The 21427-nt window shown below is 48.0% G+C and overlaps 4 annotated features.

The window, feature by feature from the left end:
• Positions 8717-8877: a silencer, noted in NCBI's record as "fragment chr7:150595609-150595769 (GRCh37/hg19 assembly coordinates)". NCBI's record gives its function as "represses an EF-1alpha promoter that drives an FKBP-Casp9 reporter gene in an ReSE screen in K562 erythroleukemia cells {active_cell/tissue: K562}" and the evidence as "EXISTENCE:reporter gene assay evidence [ECO:0000049][PMID:32094911]".
• Positions 8717-9011: an enhancer, noted in NCBI's record as "tiled region #11983; HepG2 Activating DNase unmatched - State 12:CtcfO, and K562 Activating DNase matched - State 4:PromP". NCBI's record gives its function as "activates a minimal TATA promoter and a strong SV40 promoter by Sharpr-MPRA in HepG2 and K562 cells {active_cell/tissue: HepG2 | K562}" and the evidence as "EXISTENCE:reporter gene assay evidence [ECO:0000049][PMID:27701403]".
• Positions 8895-8954: a silencer, noted in NCBI's record as "silent region_18784". NCBI's record gives its function as "represses an Ori minimal core promoter by ATAC-STARR-seq in GM12878 lymphoblastoid cells {active_cell/tissue: GM12878}" and the evidence as "EXISTENCE:reporter gene assay evidence [ECO:0000049][PMID:35858748]".
• Positions 20170-20670: an enhancer, noted in NCBI's record as "H3K4me1 hESC enhancer chr7:150607062-150607562 (GRCh37/hg19 assembly coordinates)". NCBI's record gives its function as "activates a minimal SCP1, AML or CMV promoter by ChIP-STARR-seq in primed H9 embryonic stem cells {active_cell/tissue: H9 hESC(primed)}" and the evidence as "EXISTENCE:reporter gene assay evidence [ECO:0000049][PMID:30033119]".

The following is a 21427-nucleotide window of genomic DNA, read 5'->3' on the forward strand; positions in this document are numbered from 1 at the left end:
AAAAAATATTTTTTAAATCCAGGCATAGAGGCACATGTCTGTAGTCCCAGCTATTCGGGAAGCTGAGGTGGGAGAATAACTTAATTCAGGAGTTCGAGGCTGCAGTGGACTGTAATTATGCCACTGCACTCCAGCTTGGGTAGCAGAGTGAGACCCTGTCTCTTAAAAGATAAAAATAAAAAATATTGAAATACCTAGAATTAGGGTATGATTTCTTCACTATTACACCAAAAATACAAGCAACTAAAGAAAAAATAGATACATTTGACTTCATCAACATTAAAAATGTTTGCACTTCAAAGGACATTATCAAGAAAGTGAAAGGACAACAACAAGAATGGCAGCAAATATTTATAAATTTATATACCTGGTAAGAGTCTAGTGTCCACCATACACACACACACACACACACACACACACACACCTCAATAATAAAAAGACAACCCAATTAAAGATGGGCAAAGCATTTGAATAGACATTTCTCCAAAGAAGATAAACAAATTGCCAATAAGCACATGAAAAGATGCTCAACATGACCAGTCATTAGAGAAATGCAAACCAAAACCACAGAGCAATGCCATTTCCCATTACTAGGAAGGCTATAATGAAAAAGATAAGACAATAACAAGTGTTGTTAAGAATGTAGAGAAATTAGGCCATGCGCAGGGGCTCGTGCCTGTAATCCCAGCACTTTGGGAGGCCGAGGCGGGCAGATCAACTGAGGTCAGGAGTTCAAGACCAGCCATGACCAACATGGTGAAATCCCGTCTCTACTAAAAATACAAAATTAGCTATGCGTGGTGGTGCATGCCTGTAATCCCAGCTACACAGGAGGCTGAGGCAGGAGAATCGCTTGAACCCGGGAAGCGGAGGTTGCAGTGAGCCGAGATCGTGCCATTGCACTCCAGCCAGAGCAATAAGAGTGAAACTCCATCTCAAAAAAAAAAAAAAAAAAGAATGTAGAGAAGTAGAGAAATTGAAACCTTCATACATGCTGGTGAGAATGTAAAATGGTACCACCTTTTTACTACTTTCTGTAGGTTCGTGATTGCTTAGGGCTGAGGGGACTTGGGGGGAAATTGGGAGTAATTGCCAATGGGTACAGGGTTACTTTGGGGAATGTTAAAAATGTTCTAAAATTCAGATTGTTGCACAACCTCTGTTAATATATTAGAAACCATTGAACTGCACAGGCTAAATGGATGAATTGTAAGGTATGTAAATTATAACTCGATAAATCTGTAAATAGATAGATGATAGATAGATAGATAGATAGATAGATAGATAGATAGATAGACAGACAGACAGATACAACATTTTTTGAGACAGGGCCTCACTCCCACTGTCCAGGCTTGAGTGCAGTGATGCAATCTCAGCTCACTGCAGCCTTAACTTCCCAGGTTCAGGTGATCTTCCCACCTCAGCCTCCCACTGTTATATTTTTAAAAGCAGGGGACGGAGAGGAGGAGGGAGGAAAGCAGAAGGGAAGGTAAGGAGGAAGGAGAAAGGGAGAGAGGGAAGGAGAAGGAAAAGGGAGGGGAGGGGAAGGGAGAGGGATGAGGGTTAATTAATGAGTGGGTGACTTAGCAGGAAGTCCTGATTGACAGGTCAGGCCACTGCAGGAACAATTTATACAGCCAAGAAGTAATTGAACAGATTTAGATTTGACCACAAACCTGAGCAGACACCTGAATTCTCACTGTTATGGTAGCTCATTAAAAAGAATGAGAAAAAGGCAATAGATGATTGAATGGGACTTTTTCAGTGTCTATCAGTTTTTTCTAAAGCCCAAAGCTGAAAACATCCAGCACATAGCACTGCAATGTATTTTAAGGCCTAAAATTTCATAGGCTGCCTTGACATCTCTGAGCACCATGGAGCTTCAAAGGCCTAACCGCAAGCTCCCCCGCAGTTAGGGGTTAGAGTTCTCCAGAGGTGCCCCCACCCCACAGAAGAGGCTCCCCATCCTCTAGTTCCCCTGTCACCCAGACCAGCTGGACTCCACCTGGCCGTCAACCTAATAGGTTTACTTACCTGCCAGCCTGTGAAATTATTCAAAAAGGCCAATCACATCCTCCCATGGGAACTGGGGTCCACCCCATCCTCTTGTCACTCCACAGCCTGCCTCCTACAGCCCTGCTACAAGTGCACCCGCCCGTGTGGCCCTGTGTGACATGCGCATCCTCCATCCCTGGGGCTGTGAGTTCATGTGACTAATGAACTGCTGTTGATCTCATCTGTCCCATGTCGGCTGTCATATGTTGGGCCATCCCATAATATTTAAGGCAGAGGATCCCTCCCTCAGCAGTGGAGTGAAAAGGAGGCACTCAGAACCCCCCATTCTAAAGGTGACATCACAGAGCTGCCCCCAGCCCCAGGTGTGCTGTGAAGTGGCCCAGCTGTCCTGGAACCACCATCTCCTCCAGCCTATTTGAGCATGAAGGGGGTTCACTGAGGCAGGGGTGTGCTTGGAGAAGGGGTGCCATGGCTCTCCTCCCACCACTTCAAGTCACATGAGGGGCCCCCAGGGAATGACTGGGAGAGATGCAGCACCTGCCTGGGGAAGGGGCATGGGAGAGGACCCCACACCCCGGCTACCTGTTGAGTGGTTGTGGAAACACACAGGCCCTTCCTATCTGGAGCTTGCCATGGACCCCACAAGTTTGGCACATACATGGATTTAGAGACTGGTGCCTACTTATTGCCAGAAGCTTGAAGGTGGCCGGTTAGCCAAGCAGCCTGAGATGGCCAGGCAGTGGGAATAGCCTACACCCACCTCTTATAGTGACAAGGATGACGGGAAACTCCAGAGAAAGTGGCCTGTGGACCTCTTGAAGATACAGATATGCCTCATGTTATTGCACCTTGCTTTATTGCGCTTTGCATATATTGTATTTCTTACAAATTGAAGGTTTGCAGCAACCCTGCATGGAGCAAGTCTATCAGCACCATTTTTCCAAAAGCAAGTGCTCACTTCGTGTCTCTGGGTCATATTTTGGTAATTTGTGCAATATTTCAAACTTTTTCACTATTATTATATCTGTTAGGGTGATCTGTGATTAGTGATCTGTGATCTGATGTTACTACTGTTATTGTTTTGAAGCACCGTGAGCCATGCCCGTGTAAGACGGTGAACTCAGTCGGTTAATGCTGTGTGTGTTCTGAATGCTTCACTGACCATTTCACATCTATCTCCCTCTCCTTGGGCCTCCCAATTCCCGAGGCACAATAACATTGCAGTTAGACCAATTAATAACACTACAATGGCCTCTAAATGTTCAAGTGAAAGGAAGAGTTGCATATCTCTCACTTTAAGTCAAGCTCTAGAAATGGTTTAGCTTAGTGGGAAAGGCATGTCAAAAGCCAAGATGGGCCAAAAACTGAGTCTCTTGCACCAGTTAGCCAAGTTTTGAATGCAAAGGAAAAGTTCTTGAAGGAAATTAAAAGTGCTACTCCAGTAAACACATGAATGATAAGAAAGCAAACAGCCTTATTGCTGATATGGAGGAAATTTTAGTGGTTTGGATACAAGATCAAACCAGCCACGACATTCCCTTGAGCCAATGTCTAATCCAGAGCAAGGCTCGAACTCTCTTCAATTCTATGAAGGCTGAGAGTTGAGGAAGCTACAGAAGAAAAGTCTGAACCCAGCAGAGATTGGCTCATGAGGTTTAAGGAAAGAAGGTATCTTCATAACATCAAAGTGCAAAGAGAAGCTGCAGCAAGTTATCCAGAAGACCTAGCCAAGATCAATGATGAAGGTGGCTACATAAACAACAAATTCTCAAAGTAAATAAGACAGCCTTCTGTTGGAAGAAGATGCCATCGAGGACTTTCATAACTAGAGACATTCATAGTCAATGCCCGGCTTCAAAGCCTCAAAGGACAGGCTGACTCTCTTGTTAGGAGCTGATGCAGCTGGTGATTTTAAGTTGAAGTCAATGCTCATTTACCATTCTGAAAATTCTGGAGCCTTTAAGAGTAACGCTATATCTACTCTACCTGTGCTCTATAAATGAAACAACAAAGCCTGGATGACAGTATATCTGTTTACAGAATGGTTTACTGAATATTTTAAGGCCACTGTTGAGACCTACTGCTCAGAAAAAAACTGTTCTTTTCAAAATATCACTGCCCATTGACAATGCACCTAATCACCCAAGAGCTCTGATGGAGACATGCAAGGAGTTAATGTTGTTTTCATGCCCACTAATACAACATCCATTCTGCAGCCCATGGATCAAGGAGCAATTTCAACTTTCAAGTCTTATTATTTAGGAAATACATTTTGTAAGGCTCTAGCTGTCGTAGATAGTGATTCCTCTGATGGATCTGGGCTAAGTAAATTGAAAACCTTCCTGAAAGGATTCACCATTCTAGATGCCATTAAGAACATTTGTAATTAATGGGAAGAGGTCAAAATAGCAACATTAACAGAAGTTTGGAAGAAATTGATTCCAACCCTCCTGAATGATTTTGAAGGGTTCAAGACTTCAATGGAGGAACTCACTGCAGATGTGGTGGGAATAGCAAGAGAAGTAGAATTAAAAGGGGAGCCTGAAGAGGTGACTGAGTTGCTGCAATCTCATGACTAAACATGACTGGCAGCCAGGCGCAGTGGCTCAAGCCTGTAATCCCAGAACTTTGGGAGGCCGAGGTGAGCGGATCATCAGAGGTCAGTAGTTCAAGACCAGCCTAGCCAACATGGTGAAACCCCTTCTCTACAAAAATACAAAAATTAGCAGGGCATGGTGACATGTGCCGGTAGTCCCAGCTACTCAGGAGGCTGAGACAGGAGATCACTTGAACCCAGGAGGCAGAGGTTGCAGTGAACTGAAATTGTGCCACTGCCCTCCAGCCTGGGCAACAAAGCGAGACTCCATCTCAAAACAAAACAAACAAAAAAAAACCTTGAATGGATGAGGTGTTGCTTCTTATGAATGAGCAAAGAAAACAGTTTCTTCTTTCTTTTTTATTTTCTTTTTTGAGACAGAGTCTTGCTCTGTTGCCCAGGCTGGAGTGCAGTGATGTAATCATGAATCACTGCAGCCTCAAGCTCCTCAAGTAATCCTCCCACCTCAGCCTCCAAAATAGCTAGAACAAGTGAATGCTACCATGCCTGGTTCTTTTTCTTTCTTTTTTTTTTTTATATATAGGCAGGGTCTCACTATGTCGCCCAGGCTGGTCTCAAAGTCCTGGCCTCAAGTGATCCTTCCACCTAGGCCTGGGATGATTCCAGGCTGGGATTACAGACATGAGCCACCACATCCTGCCTGTTTCCTTAGATGGAATATACTCCTGGTAAAGACGCTGTAAACATTGTTGAAACGACAACAAAAAAATTAGAATATGACATAAACTTGGTTGATAAAGCAGCAGCAGGGTTTGAGAGAATTGACTCCAATTTTGAAAGAAGTTCTACCTTGGGTAAAATGCTACCAAACAGCATTGCATGCTACAAGGCAATATATTATGAAAGGACAGTCCATTGATGTGGCAAAATTCATTGTTTTCTTGTTTTAAGAAATTGCCACAGCCACCCCAGCCTTCAGGAACCACCACCCTGATCAGTCAGCAGCCACCAACACCAAGGCAGAACCCTCCACCAGGAAAAAGATGATGACTCACTGAACGCTCAGATGATTGTTAGCATTTTTTTGCAATAAAGATTTTTTTAATTTAAAGTATGTACATTGTATTTTTGACATAATGCTATTGAACACTTAATAGGCCACAGTATAATATAAACATAACTTTTATATGCACTGGAAAACCAGTGGATTTTTATAACTCACTTTATTGCAATATTTGCTTTATTGCGGGGTCTGAAAGTGAACCCACAATATTTCCAAGGTGTGTCTGCACCTGTTGTGGGTTGAACTGTGTCCTCCAAAAAGATATATTGAAGTTCTAACCCTTGGTACCTATCACTGTGACCTTATTTGGAAACAGGTCTTTGCAGATGTGATCAGTTAAGACGAGGTCACGCTAGAGTAGCGTGGACCCTAATCCAATGGCCAGTGTCCTTATAAGAAGAAGAGAAGACACAGAGAGACACATACACACTCAAAGAAGAAGCCCATATGCAGACAGAGGCAGAGATTGCAGTGATGCTTTCACAAACCATGAAACACCTGGGGCTACCAGAAGCCAGATGGATAAGGAAGCATGCTCCCCTAGAGGTTGCAGAAGGAGCGTGGCCCTACCAACACCTTGATTTTGACCTTCTGGCCTCCAGAACCATGAAAGAATACATTTCTGTTGTTTTGAGTCACCCAGTTTATGCACCTTGTGGTGGTGGCCACAGGAATCCAGTAACACCCCCTTCTAAGAGGGCAGCCAGGCAGACGAGGAGAACTATGCAGTTAGAGGCTGTGGGGTGGACAGCAGGGGACAGGTCATCAGGGCACTGTGCAGGTCCAGGTCCATGATGCTCGGAAGAACACACACCTGCATCCAGCAGAAGAGCCAGTGTTGCATATCAGCCACCCAGAGCCCAAGGGTCCATGTAAGCAAAAATGGCCACGCCAGTGGGGCCACTTTTCCTCCAAGCCCCCTCCCCTCCATCCTGGCCCCAGGAGCATCAGCAGGTGTGGGAGAGGAAGAGAGGAGGGGACGGCCAGACCTGCCCCTCCCCAGGGTAGGAGCCTTGGACCTGGGGTCCAGCAGAGCTGGGAGGAGAGGCAAAACTGAACTGGATGTCAGATGTTGGTTGAACTTGACAGACCTGTTTCACACACAAACACAATCAAAAAACTATGGTGGGATCTGCGCCAGCCTGATTAAGGTGGGGAAGGAAGATCCAGCAAGACACACGGGTTGGGAATCAGGGACTGCTGGGAGACTTAGCACGGAGACACTGGACTTCAGGGAACTGGAAGCTGGGAGGATGGGTGAACTAAGAGATAAACAGGGTGGGTACTCCAGAGACAGCAATGCCCAGAGAGGCAGGGGCAGAGGGAGGGCGTGGAGTTCCCAGACCCTGCAGCCGGGTCACCAGTGGAAGCTGGGAGCCCTGGGGGCCTGTCTGTCGCAGCTGGAGAGAAAGGGAGAGAAGGTCCAGCCCCCTCTGTCTCATGCTCAGGCCTCCCATGGGTGGAACCTGGAAGTGTGGGAGATACCACTTGCAGGGGTCTGTCCCCACAAGACATGGCAGAGGAGGGAGAGGACAAGTGTAGAGTCTCAGGACAACAGATCCAGGACCAGCACCGCATGTAGAAAGGCAGTGAAAGGAAAGGGGGAGACCTCCACTTCGGCCCTGCCCCCTCCCTATCTAGCTCCGACTGGTCGGCAAACTGGTTCCCAGCCATGCAGCCCCAGGAAATGGCATTGATGGTGCTTGGACCCAAAGTCATGTCTGTGGGGTTCATCTCCTGGAGGAGGATCCCTGGCCACACCCCTTGGGGTGGACAGATCCCTCTCCCTGGAAATTCCCCTTTGGGGTAGGCAGATCCCTCCATCTAGCAATTTGCAGTTCACAGACCCCAGAATGCAGGGCCAGAGACAGGGACACTCCCAGAGTTACCCGGGACATCCCTGTATGTGTTTGGTTGTGGATCAGAGGAGGGAGAGGCTTGTTCAACACACAGCCACCTGCCCCTCACCAGAGACAGAGACCCTGGGGCTGGGGAGGAATCCAGTCCATTCGCTCCAGACACCCACCCCAGGCTCAGGAACAGTGCAGAAGAGAGACAGGGGCTGGCTCCGAGTGAGAGAGACACCCGCCATTCCCAAACCCTCTTTGCGGAGGACCACGAAGAACCCACCAAGCAGTGTAAGGAAAGAAGAAAACAAACAAGGACTTATGACCCGGGCCCACCTCTCACTCCAGCCCCAAGTCACTTCCCCTTCATGTAAAGCAGGTGTTATTTTGTTTGCGGCTCTTCAGCTGCCAGGTGGGGATGCAAATGAGAAAAGCTGAGACTCAGTTGTTTCACAGAAAGAAGAGGAAACCAGAAGATGTCGGGACACCAGAGCCTGTTGCTTTTCGAGGCCTTTTAGGATAGGGTAGCAATTGAAGGTGGCCTCAGAAAAGGATGATTGGGAAAGGGGGAGGTAACTGAGGTCCCCTCACCTAGCCTGGGGGCCCCTTCTCTTCACCAACACCTACAAACCCTTGGCCTCAAAACCCAGGCAGTGTTCCGGCCACCTCATGTAGCAAGGGGAGCCTGGAGACAGAGGACGGGCCCCGGGTCACACACAGAGTGGCCAGATTGGGTGGAGACCTGCGTGTCCTGGCACCAGGAGTCTCTCCACGAGCCTCTGCAATTTCTCAAACTTCAGTGAGATGAAGACTCATTTTTGCAACTTGGTCTCTATTTGCTGCACTGTTGGCCATTTCAAGCTTGTACCCGCAGTCAGCAAAAGGAAGTGTTAATAAGCTCGCCCACATAAACCCACTTTGCCCACTGCTCAAACCACCGCAAACCAATTTTTCCAGGCTGCTGCCAGGTTAGGCTCCCTTGGTGTTAATTTCCTGCTCAGTAAAGCAGTGAGTCATCTCCCTCCCTTCTCTCCAGCTCTCACTATTGCTCTGAGACCAGAGTCTGCAGCAGAGGGGTCACATGGAATCCTTTAGTACAGAAGTTCACGACCTGGACGAGGAGACGCAGGGACCGCCAACTGGCTCCTTGGAAACTGCCCGCAGTTGATTCCGAAAACACACCTGAGCCGAGAAGCTCCATGCAATCTGGAATTCCTGGAGTTCTTGTCAGCGTCCACTGCCATGCAGGACTCTGGGGCACTTGGCTTGTCATTGGCTAAAAGATGGGCTGGGTTCGAGGTGCAGATAGCTGCATTTTAGCCGCTGGTGCTGTCTCGCTTGGAGGAATGCTGTCTGCCACGCGACCACCAGGTGGCGCACAACACCTCGCGGCGACTGGACCGGGCACGGCTGCCTCTTATTAATCCCGCGGAGAAAACAGAGGCTGGAAATGCCCCCGGGGTGAGGCTTGACCAAGAACGGCAGACTCAAAATGGCTCCCTGTGGACCAAGTTCAGCTGAATGGAACAGAAAAATGTGTTCACAGCGGCTTCAACAAGAGACAGTCGTGTTTCTCTGTAAACACAGTCCTGAGTGGCTTAGGGGCCCCATGAAGGCCTAGGGCACGCAGCCTCCTTCCTCCTCACGGCCTCCACCTGGGATGTAGCCCCCAGCCTCCTAGTCCACGGTGACTGCCAGAGCTCCAGCCATCTCATACAAGTCAGGCAGTAGGATGGAGGAGGGGACAGAGAAGGGTATGGCTACCTTCACTGTGCTTTGCCGGAATTCACAGACATCACTTGTCTTACAACTCATTGGCCAAGCCTTAGCCATGGAGGCTGGGGGTGGGCTCTTTTGCTGGGCTTTGCCACCCCCAAGTAATTTCAGGCTTTAGTTTAGAAGAAGAATATGAGGATGGCTATCTCACGGCGACGTCAGCCACATGTGAATATGCGCCACTGGAGTTCCCCTGCGCCAACCCAGCATATTTCCCATTCCCTGGAAACCTCAATAACTGGGGCTCACTTCCTGCCTGCCCCTTAACCGATTTGACTCCCAAATATATGTCCCATGTCCATATTCTTCTCTTACACGCCAAGACCTGTACCTCTACCTAAACGTCCTGTGAGAACCTCACACTCCACATGTCTAAGCCGGTTTATCACCTCCTCTATCCCCTGCACAGGCCAGCCCTTCCTCCTGTGCTCCCCAGCCCAGGGTCTATCATCATGTCCCTTGACCCAAGCCAAGAACCGAGAGCCTAGGCACCTGCTTCCCTCCACACAGCCCCTCTGCCATCTACCCGTGAGTCCCACCTTCCCAGCATTTCCTGAATTCGTTCCATCTTTCCTTTCCCCATGATGACTTACTGCTCATCACCCTGAGACCCCAGTCTCGCCTCCATCAGACCAACCTCAACGCGGCTTCCAGAGGGGTTGCTCTGAAATCCAGATCAAACCCTGTCACCCTTCTGATTGAAGCCTCCATGGCTCCCAAAATTTTCAACGTGATTTATCAAGACCTTGAGAATCTGACCCATCCCTACATCCTCCACGTATCAGTTAGCATGGGGTAAGCATTTAACATGTGCACAAACCAGGCAGTGACTCCCTCCGTCCTCACAGCTCCTCTCTGAGGTGGCGGGTGACAGTCTGGGTTATTATTATTCAGCAAATACTCACACTCCTCCCGTATAGACTCCCCTGCTCATTGATGTTGGACTTGACCACCTGACGTGTTTTGGCCCTGGGGCTGTTGGAGGATGGAACTAGCAGAAGCACTCCATGCGCCCACATGGCCTGGCTCCTTCTTTCCACTCCAGAAGTCCAGGGTAAGAAGAGCTTCCTCCAGAGAGCCTCTGCTGTGCCCCAGGACAAACTTGGTGCAACCACCTGAACTTGCGTCAAACCCAGGCTACCTACAGCCTAAGGCAGGGCCGTCCAGCCACACCTATCCTGGATCAGCCAAATTATAGCCATCTGAGACCTGTGAGTATGAGAGTAATTAACACTGGTTGTCATAATGCACTGAGTTTGAGAGCTGTTTGTTATTATGATTATTATTTTAGAGACAGAGTCTCTCTCTGTCTTCCAGGATGGAGTGCAGTGGTGCAATCACAGGTCACTCCTGCAGCCTTGAACTCCTGGGCTCAAGCAGTTCTCCCACCTCAGCCTCCTAAATATCTGGGACTACAGGTGTGCACCATGCCTGGCTAATTTTTTTTTTAGAGTAGGGGTCTCACTATGTTGCCCAGGCTGGTCTCAAACTCCTGGGCTCAGTGATCCTCCTGCCTCGGCCTCCCAAGGCGTTGGGGTGACAGGTGTGAACCACGGCACCTGGCCTGGGCAGCATTACTTTGACAAAATTATGACATCCTCATTTCCAGCCACACCAAAACTTGTTTCCACCTCAGGGCCTTGCATCTTCTGATTCCTCTGCGTCTGCCTCTCCTGACCTTAAAAGGTAAACCCAGCGCATCCAGTTCAAATGTCACTTCCCAAAGAGACTTTCTCCACGGCGACCCAGCCCCCACAGCCCTGTCTTCTGCCCTCACTGTTGCTGTAGGGAATTGCCTTATGCACTTGCACTTACTCTGTCTCTCTCTCCAGTGAGAACCCAGGCTCTGTACCATGGAGCACTCGCGGGTACCGGGGCCTCTTCCCTGTGCTTACCCAGCTGCTCTCACCCCTGGCCTCACTTGCCTCTCTGCCTCGCTGGGTTGAAAGCCCCTGGCTCATTTTTACACCTCCAGGACCTACACCTCTGGGACCTGGAACACAGCAGGCCCTCAGTAAACCTGGAATTCCAGTCGACTCTGGTGTTTCCAGCTTGCTGCGGGGAGGGCACCTTCTTTCTGGATGGAGGGGACCCTAGCCTGCTTCTGGACTCTGGGTGGGATGGAGGAGTCTCCCAGTTTAGAGACACTTTTCTAGAGTCCAGACTGGCCTTACTCTGTGATATTGTCCCTGCCCCCAGCTCCAGAGCAGGAAGAACCGGCCCAGGGCAAGGTCTGTAACTCGGGGATCAAAGGGCTGCTGCTGCAGCCAAGCCTCTGCAGAGCGAACTTGAGCTCCCTCCCCAGCCACACTGCACATGCACTGCACTCACCCTTGCAGCTCTGTGTCCGGCCCAGGCAGCCTCGGCCCGTCCCCTCCTTGCTCCGTGAGGCCTGAGTCCCTGTTTATTGAATATCTGGACTATACTACAAAGAGGTGAAATCAGAGGCCCCACAACCTCAAGGCCCCTGCTGCTTAGTGGGAAGCACTGATTCATGAGGAAGTAACTAGAAATTGTGGTGTAAATGCAGAGGTTACCTCTCCCTGCAGGCTGGGGTATGGCGAGGGGAGGGGTCTGGCAGAGGTCCAATGCATCAGAGTGAGCCAGGCTTGGGGAACTGTGGAGGGGGTGTTCCAACCGAGGGCGACAGCTTGATCGAAGGCACACAGTTGAGAAACATCACTGCATTCTGTGCTGGGAGCTGTAATAGTCCAGGGTGCCTGGAGTAAAATGTGACAGGTGGGCAGTTGCCTGGCTGAGCCTGGAGAGGGCCCGACCTTGGGGTTTACTGCACAGCTGGCGGGGCCTTGGCAGAGCTCTCTGCATGGCAGTGGCACAAAGAGATCTGTGAGCTTGCCATGATGACAGCGGGGTGGGGGGTGGATTAGGGAGGAACAAAAACAGAGAAATCATGCAGGAGACAGAAAATCTTCATACGAGAGATGATAGGAGTCTAAATCAGGGCCAAGGTAGGAGGCTTTGAAAGAAGAGGCACATCCAGGAAGGATCCCAGAGGTTAAAGCACCAGATCTCAGAGAATCCAGGACACACAGAAGGAAGGAGGGGGCATCAAGCTTGGGCACAGATATACTGCCACCGCCCACATCGGGACCCAGGAGGGAGAGCTGGACTGCAGGGTGGGGGTGGGAAATGTTACCAAGGGGGTAGGAGTCAAGGGCATGTGTCAAAGCCCAGCTTGTCCCTGAGCCTGCAGGAATGGTCGTGGATGGCGCGGGAACAGTTGGGCTGCGGGGTGGGGAGGCTGCTGAGGCAGAGCATATTAGCAGCGGGTCAGCAGCAGAGAGTGAAGGAGACAGGGCAAAATAGGGAGCTTGGAAAAGAGGGCCAATGTCTCTACTGAGCTGAGAAAATGAGACAGAGTGACAGAGATGAAAACTCAGAGGGAGGGAGATAGAGACTCAGAGAGAGACAGAGAGACAGAGCATGTGCACACCCAGCACAGGCAGCTGGGGCCCCACCCCCATCCCCAGGAGCCACACCTTTACAATGTCTTTCCCAGGCCACCCTCTCCTGGAGCCTCTCCTTCAGGCTCCTCTTTACCACTGATACCGGTCATTTTGTGTTACTCAGGACCTTTTTGGTTGCAAGTGATAAAACTTCAACTTGAACAAGATCAAGAAAAAGGAGATGAACTTTGACAAGATGCCTGGGAGTCGAGCCCAGTGAAGGAACGTTCAACAACCAGACCCTGGAGAAGGGCAGGGACCTGCCTCTGGGAGGAGCTGGCCGGGCGCTCACGCCTGAACTGGTTGATTTCATTCTCATCTTTTTCCTCTTGCAGGGCCATGGCCTTTGAGGACACTGCAGGCCCTGCAGCCTGAGAGAGAGTCTCTATTCCCAGGCCAGTTTGCAAACTCCCAAGAAAGACATCTCAGGGCTCAGGACCATGGACCATGGGGCAATGGACGGACCTGTAGGAACATTGTGGCTGAGTGGGGAGGGCAGTGCCCAGAAGAACATGCTGGGGCCAGGCACGAGGAAAGCAATAGGTGGGCCCTGAGGTCAGACGGCCACAGCAGAAGCGCCTCCTCACGCTGGGACTCCCTCCTCCTCCTTCTCCTTCACCTCCTCCTCTCTCTCCATCTCTCTTTTTTTTTTTTTTTTTTTGAGACGGAGTCTCGCTCTGTCACCCAGGCTGGAGTGCAGTGGCGTGATCTCGGCTCACTGCAAGCTCTGCCTCCCAGGTTGACGCCATTCTCCTGCCTCAGCCCCCTGAGTAGCTGGGATTGCAGGCGCCCACCACCACGTCCGGCTAATTTTTTGTATTTTTAGTAGAGACGGGGTTTCACCGTGTTAGCCAGGATGGTCTCAATCTCCTGACCTCGTGATCCGCCCGCCTCTGCCTCCCAAAGTGCTGGGATTACAGGCGTGAGCCACCACGCCCGGCCTCTCTCCATCTCTCTCTCCATACCTCTCTCTCTCTTTCTCTGTCTCTATTTGTCCCTCTCTCTTCTCCCCCTCTCCCCTACCCCCCTAAGCCTACCGGGCGGGGGGCTCCCTGCTTCTTCCCATCCCACATCACCCCTCCTGGCTTTCTCAGCCCTCTTGTCCTGCAGATTTTGTGGCCTTCACACACTCGCCACATTCTTGTTCCACCGTGGCACTCAGGGTCTCCATGGCTACCTATGCCCAGAGCTAAACAAAGCGCTGGTGTAGCTGGGCTCCAGCCAGGGCCCAGGGTGGCAGGCCCAGGACCTCCAGGTGCGGGCACTGTTTCCGCTGAAGCGGCCGGGCCACCGCCAGCTCTCTTGGCAGCCTTGGCACTGCTGAGTCACACTGGGCTTTCTGTTTCCATAAAACATGTTTCAGAGATTTATGAGGTAATCATGTGCTCACTACAGAAAAATTCGAAAACACAAATATAAAGGATCTATTTCTCCTCGGTCTTTTACTTATGCAAATTTTAAAACAAACGTCGACTTAGTCTATATATAGCTTTTGCTTAACTTCTTATCAAGAGCATTTACCCTGCTCATAATGTGTGAATGATATTCGTTTATGGATTACAAATACAATAGCGGACAGTTATTACTCTGCTGAATACTTTTTGCTGGCTATTTTATTTAACAAACTACCACGTGGTTTCCCCAAGAACAGTTAGATTCCCCATTTCACAAATGTGGAAGCTGAGGTTTAGAGTGGTTGAATAAATTGTTCACAGTCACACAGCTAGTACATGGCAGGTCCCAACTTTGAGGCCAAATCACCTTGTTTCACAGCCAATGTCATTTCTCTCCATGACCCCTCCTGCCTGTGTACCACAGGTCACAGGTGTGCATGAGGTGTCTGTGTGTCACAGGAGGGCATCACCACTCTCCTCCACCTGGGCTGAGCTATGTCCCTCCAGGACAGTGGTGGAGGATGCTTCCCAGGAGGAGTGACATCCTGTTTGTAAGCCACCAGCTTGTAAGTCATGGAGTTGCCTGTGGTGGCATGGCGGAAGCCTGGCTGTGCTCTGTGGGCCAAGGGCATGAGGGACAGGCAGCCCTTCATGGCAAAGAGCCAAAGAGTAATTCAGAAAACTAGAATTTGAATAGAATCACCTCAACTTTTAAAGACGGCATACCAAAACCCCAAGCAAATATCACATCCAATGGAGAAACCTTAGAAACATCCCCATCTAGATTGGCAAGAAGATAAGGTGCCTGTTAGCATTGCTGCTATGTAACAAAGAGCCAGAGTCAGGGCCACTGTTATAAAACAAGAAAAGGAAATGGGAGGTGTAGAAGTCGGAAGGAGGAAAGAGATTAAAATGTTATTTGTGGACTATATGAAAATTTACATAGAAATTTCAACTAATTATTAAAACTAATAACAGGGTTGCTGGATGGATGTAAAGTCAACTTACAAAGACCAATAACACTTTGTCTATACCACATTAACCACCTATAATATATAGGAGAAAATAAGACATATATACATATAAGAAAATAGGATACCTTTCATAACAGCAACACAACCTATAAAATGCCTGAAAAAAAATATACTAGTCCTCTGTAAAGGAAATTTTTACCCTCTAATAAAGGAGATAAAAGTGGATCTAAATAAACAGAATAATCTGTGTTGTTGGATTGGACAACTTAATATTAAAGTATCAATTCTACCCAATTATTACCACAATTGTCGTCCTAATCAAACTCCAACTGTCCTTTTTTAGGAATGCAATACATTTATTCTAAAATTTATAAGGAAGAATAAAAGTTCCCAAATTACTACCATAATTTTTTTAAAGATGTTACAGGATCTCTGGGGTGTCGACTTTTCTGACTGGAAACCTCTGTGGCCACGGCGCCTTTGCCCGAGTTCTTGTCCTGTGTCCAGGAAGAATGAGGTACACAGACAAGTGATGGGTAAAGAAGAAGAGTTTTATTTAGTGTTAGAACAGCTCAGAGGAGTGGGTAGCTCCTTTCTATAGGCAGGTCCTCCGTTGAGTGTTCCTCTCTCAGCAGAGGAGGCCTGGAGAGGGTGGCTCCTGTCTGCAGGCAAGTCATTCGGAGGTCTCTGCAGGTCTCTGAAACTCTCAGCAGACAGGGTAGCTCCTCTCTGCACACTGGTCATCTCTGCAGCTCTCAGCAGAGAGGGTACTCCTCTCTGCAGCTCTCAGCGTAGAGGGTACTCCTCTCTGCAGCTGGTCGTCCTGTCCCATCATCTCTCTGCCCTCTTCATCTTCTGGCCATCCTCCATGCCTTAAGTCCGGCAGCCGCACTGTTCGCTTTTAACTGGCTGTCAGAGGCCCGGTATTTTTCTTTCATTTTGACTATTGTGGAGCTTAGGGACTCCGAAGAAAAGGACAGAAAGATTTGCTTTTACTCACCCTTCCACAGATCCCAGATGAGCCAAGAAGAATGTATCTCACCAGAAGGAAGATAACCCAAAAATCATAGTAATAAGAAGGTAAAGTGCTGGCATCATAAACCAAAATAGAGAACTTGGATATAGACCCACGTGTGTACAAGAACTTGGTTTATGGCAGAGAAGCCACCACAAGTCAGTGTAGAAAGAAGAACATGTGTAGCAAATGATTGCTGAGAAAACTAGCTCCTTAATAGGGGGTGGAGGGTGTTGGATTCCCACCACACCCATATGCAGAGGTGGGCTCCAGGTGAATTAAAGATCTCAATGTGAAAGATGTAACTATAAAGGCAATAGAAAAAATTACAATCATGTATTTGATACCTGGGGTTGGATTCAGGGAAGCTTTCATAAGAAAGACCTAAAAAGCACAAACTATAAGGCAAAACTTGATGTTTTCCCTATATAAAAATTAAGAATTTATATTCAAAACTGGATTTCCAAATGCAAAAGAATGAAACTGGACTCTTGTCTTACACCATACACAAAAATCAACTCAAAATGGATAAAAGATCTTAAAGGTAAGACCTGAAACCATAAAACTCCTAGAAGAAAACAAGCGGGAAAAAGTTTTCGACATTGGCCCTGGCAATGACTTTTTGGATACCACACCAAAACTCAGGCTACAAAAGCAAAAATAAATCAATGGGACCGCATCAAACTAAAAAGCTTCTGCACAGCAAAGCAAACAATCGACAACAAAAAAAAAGGCAACCAACAAATCAGAGAAAAATATTTGTAAACCATGTATCTAATAGGGAGTTAATATCGAAAATGCCTTTTAAAAACGCATACAACTCAACAGCAAAAACAACAAACAATCCACTTTAAAAATGGGCAAAGAACCTGAATAAACATTTCTCCAAAGAAGACATAGAAATGGCCAGCAGATATATGAAAGATGCCCGACATCACTAATGATCAGGTAAATGCAAATCAAAACCACTATGAGATACCACCTCACATCTGTCAAGGTGACCATTACCAAAAAGACTAGAGATTACAAGTGTTGGTGTTGGTGTGGAGAAAAGGGAACCTTCCTTGTACACTACTGGTGAGAATATAAGCTCGTTTAGCCATTATAGTAAACAATATAGAAGCTCCTCAAAAAAATTAAAAATAAAATTACCTTATAATCCAGCAATCCCATTACTGGCCATATACCCAAAGAAAATGAGATCACCACCTCATAAAGATATCTGCACTCCCAAGTTCATTGCAGCATTATTCACAATAGCCAAGATACAGAAACAGCCTAGATGTCTGTCAGTGGACAAATGGATAAAGAAACTATGGTATGTATACACAGTGGAATATTAATTAGGCTTTATAAAGGAGATCCTGCCATTTGACACAATGTAGACAGAGCTGGAGGACATTATGCTAACTGAAATAAGCCAGATACAGAAAGACAAATATAGTGGATCAAACTTATATGTGGAATCTTAAAAAAGAAAAAAAGAAAGAAAGGCAAATACACAGAGATAGAGAATAAAACAGTGGTTACCAGGAGTAAGGTGGGAGAAAGAAATGGGAAGATGTGAGTCAAAGTACACAGAATAGCAGATATGTAGGATGGACAAATCTAAAGATCCAGACATGAGGACTTTGGTTACTAATAGTGTATCACATTGGGAATTTTTGCTAAATGAGTATATTGTAACTACTCTTACCAAAAAAAAAGTGCTAATATAAGATGATGGATATGTTACTTTACTTCACTATAGTAATTATTTTACTATCTACATGGATCTCGTAACATCATGTTGTATGCCTTAAATATACACAATCAAATTTATTTTTTAAAAAATCTAATTGATACAACTCAGCACTCTGGAGGACCCACCATAGGTAAAAGTTAACTTATTATGACCATTCAGGGGCAAAAAGAATTTCTATTTAAGGGATACCGTAGACAAGGCCAGGTGCAGTTGTTCACACCTATAATCCCAGCACTTTGGGGGGCCAAGGTGGTTGGATTGCTTGAGCTCAGGAGTTTGAGACAACCTGGGCAACACTGCAAAACCCCGTCTCTACCAAAAATACAAAAATTAGCTGGGCATGGTGGCACATGCCTGTGGTCCCAACTACTGGAGAGTCTGGGAGGATCACTGGAGCCCAGGAAGTTGAAGTGTCAGTGAGCCATGTTTGTGCCACTGTGCTCCAGCCTGAGTGACATAGCAAGATCCTGTCTCAATCAATCAATCAATAAAGAATACCATAGACAAAACTAACATATGGAAGCCTGATTAGAAAAAGGCATTTGCAATGTCTAAAAGTGAGTAAGTATTAATGGCCGGCCACCATAGCTCATACCTGTTATCCTAGCACTTTGGGAGGCCAAAGCAAGAGAATCACTTGAGCTCAGGAGTTCAAGACCATCCTGGGCAACATAGTGAGACCTCGTTTCTATTTAAAAAAAAAAAAACTGACTAAGCATTAACAGAACATACAAGAAAGGAAAGCTAATAGAAAATTAAAATTACAGTGACAGAAACATTTAATCCCATCAGAATGGAAAACCTAGGAAAGTATATATAATTGGCATCTGTCATTCATGGCTCCCCAAAATCTTTTGTCTTTTTTTGTGACAGGGTCTCTCTCTGTCACTCAGGTTGGAATGCAATGGTGCAGTCACAGCTCACTGCAGTCTTGACTTCCTGGGCTCAAGCAATCCTCCCACCTCAGCCTCCCAAGTAGCTGGGAGTAGAGGGAGGTGCCACCACACCCAGCTAATTTATTTTTTGTAGACACAGGGTTTCACTATGTTTCCCAGGCTGGTCTTGAACTCCTGGGCTCAAGTGATCCTCTGGCATCAGCCTCCCAAGGTGGTAGGATTACAGGCATGAGCCACCATGCCTCCAGCCTTCCCAAAATCTTTTTTTTTTTTTTTTTTTGGAGACAGGGTCTCACTCTGTCACCCAGGCTGAAGTGTAGTGGCATGATCTTGGCTTACTACAACCTCTGCCTCCTGAGCTCAAGCAAGCCTCCCAGCTCAGCCTCCCGAGTAGCTGGGACTATGGGTGTGCACCACCATGCCCGGCTAATTTTTGTGTTTTCAGTAGAGATGGGGTTTCACCGTGTTGACCAGGCTGGTCTCAAACTCCTGGCCTCAAGTGATCCAGCTGCCTCAGCCTCCCAAAGTGCTGGGATTATAGGCGTGAACCATCACGCTCAGCCCCCCAAATCTTTTGAACACCTCTTCCCCAAGTGAACATTGCCTTCCTAACACTGGAGGGTGGGGAGGAGCCCACATTTTTGAGTCTCAGTTATTGTTAGGGAATGGACATGGGATTTAGGTTCCACTAACCACATATGGGCCCATGACACTTAGATTTAGACCTGAGTTATGTGGGGAAGAGGGAAAGTGCAGAGGTCCCATTGTGGTTGGTAGCAGAAGCCGTGCACTGTTGGAGCTGGCGGCTGATGGGGCTTCCTGCTCTAGAAACTCTTGACTGAGGCAGAGGCAAGGGGCTGGTCTGCGGTATCACACGGGAAGTCATTCTTGAAAGCTCATTCTTGAGTCTGTTTCTTCCAAGCTCCAAGATCCTATGATCTACTACAAACCCCGAATCAATCCTTTTCTTCTTAAACTGAGTAGAGGGGATTCTGCAGCTAATAACCTTATCAACAGATTTGCTCCTACCAGGTGTTAATGAGAATTCACTTATTCAACAAATATTTACTGTATGACTTCCAGGGAGACAAAATCTTTTTTCACTAGGAGCTTCTAAGTTTGTGGAGACAGACAATAAAGAAATAAACGTGTGGGGTGTGTGTGTGTGTGGTGTGTGTGTGGTGTGTGTGTGTGTGTGTGGTGTGTGTGTGGTGTGTGGTGTGTGTGTGGTGTGTGTGTGTGGTGTGTGTGTGTGTGTGGTGTGTGTGTGGTGTGTGTGGTGTGTGTGGTGTGTGTGGTGTGTGTGTGTGGTGTGTGTGTGGTGTGTGTGTGTGGTGTGTGTGGTGTGTGTGTGGTGTGTATGGTGTGTGTGTGGTGTGTGTGTGTGCGGTGTGTGTGTGCGGTGTGTGTGTGGTGTGTGTGGTGTGTGTGGTGTGTGTGTGTGGTGTGTGTGTGGTGTGTGGTGTGTGTGGTGTGTGTGTGGTGTGTGGTGTGTGTGTGGGTGTGTGTTGTGTGTGTGTGGTGTGTGGTGTGTGTGGTGTGTGTGTGGTGTGTGTGGTGTGTGTGTGGTGTGTGGTGTGTGTGTGTGGTGTGTGTGTGTGGTGTGTGTGTGGTGTGTGTGGGGTGTGTGTGGGGTGTGTGTGGGGTGTGTGTGGGGTGTGTGTGGTGTGTGTGTGCGGTGTGTGTGCGGTGTGTGTGGTGTGTGTGTGGTGTGTGTGTGGTGTGTGTGTGGTGTGTGTGTGTAGTGTGTGTGTGGTGTGTGGTGTGTGTGTGGTGTATGTGGTGTGTGTGTGTGGTGTGTGTGTGTGGTGTGTGGTGTGTGTGTGGTGTGTGTGGTGTGTTTGGTGTGTGTGTGGTGTGTGTGTGGTGTGTGTGTGGTGTGTGTGGTGTGTGTGTGGTGTGTGTGGTGTGTGTGTGGTGTGTGTGTATGGTGTGTGTGTGGTGTGTGTGGTGTATGTGTGGTGTGTGTGGTGTGTGTGTCGTGTGTGTGGTGTGTGTGGTGTGTGTGTGGTGTGTGTGTGGTGTGTGGTGTGTGTGGTGTGTGTGTGTGTGGTGTGTGTGTGTGGTGTGTGTGGTGTGTGTGTGTGGTGTGTGGTGTGTGTGTGTGTGTGTGTGTTTGAGAGATGTCAAGTGGTGGTACGGGCTATGGAGAAACATTTTAAAGCTCAGCAAATGAGGTCGCTATTTTATATGGATGGGTCAGGAAGTCTTTCACAAGGTGCCCTTGGAGCAGAAACCAGAAGGGATGAGGACAGCGTCATGGGGACACCTGGAGAGAGAGCATTTCTGCAGAAAAAAGGGCAGAGGTGAGAGAAGGCTCGCCTTGTTTTTGGACTGGCGAGGAGGCCAGTATAGTGGAATAGAGAGAGTGAAAGTTACATCGCTCCCACTCATCAGAAAATTCAACACACACACACACACACACATGCGCACACACACCTGCCATACATGCACACACACACCCTGCTATGTGCACACACATATGCACGTGCACACACACAGAGACATGTGCACACCCTGCCACACACACGTACGTGCACCCATGCACACACCCTGCCACACACAAGGGCCTGGGAGCTATCCTCCTACATATGTCTTAGGAAGTTGTGCACGTGCCTGAGCTCTTCAAACTAGATGTAGACAGGAACGAGCTCAAGGCGCAGAGGAAACCTTGGGGG

Source organism: Homo sapiens, chromosome 7, assembly GCF_000001405.40.
Source record: "Homo sapiens chromosome 7, GRCh38.p14 Primary Assembly".
Lineage (NCBI taxonomy): Eukaryota > Metazoa > Chordata > Mammalia > Primates > Hominidae > Homo > Homo sapiens.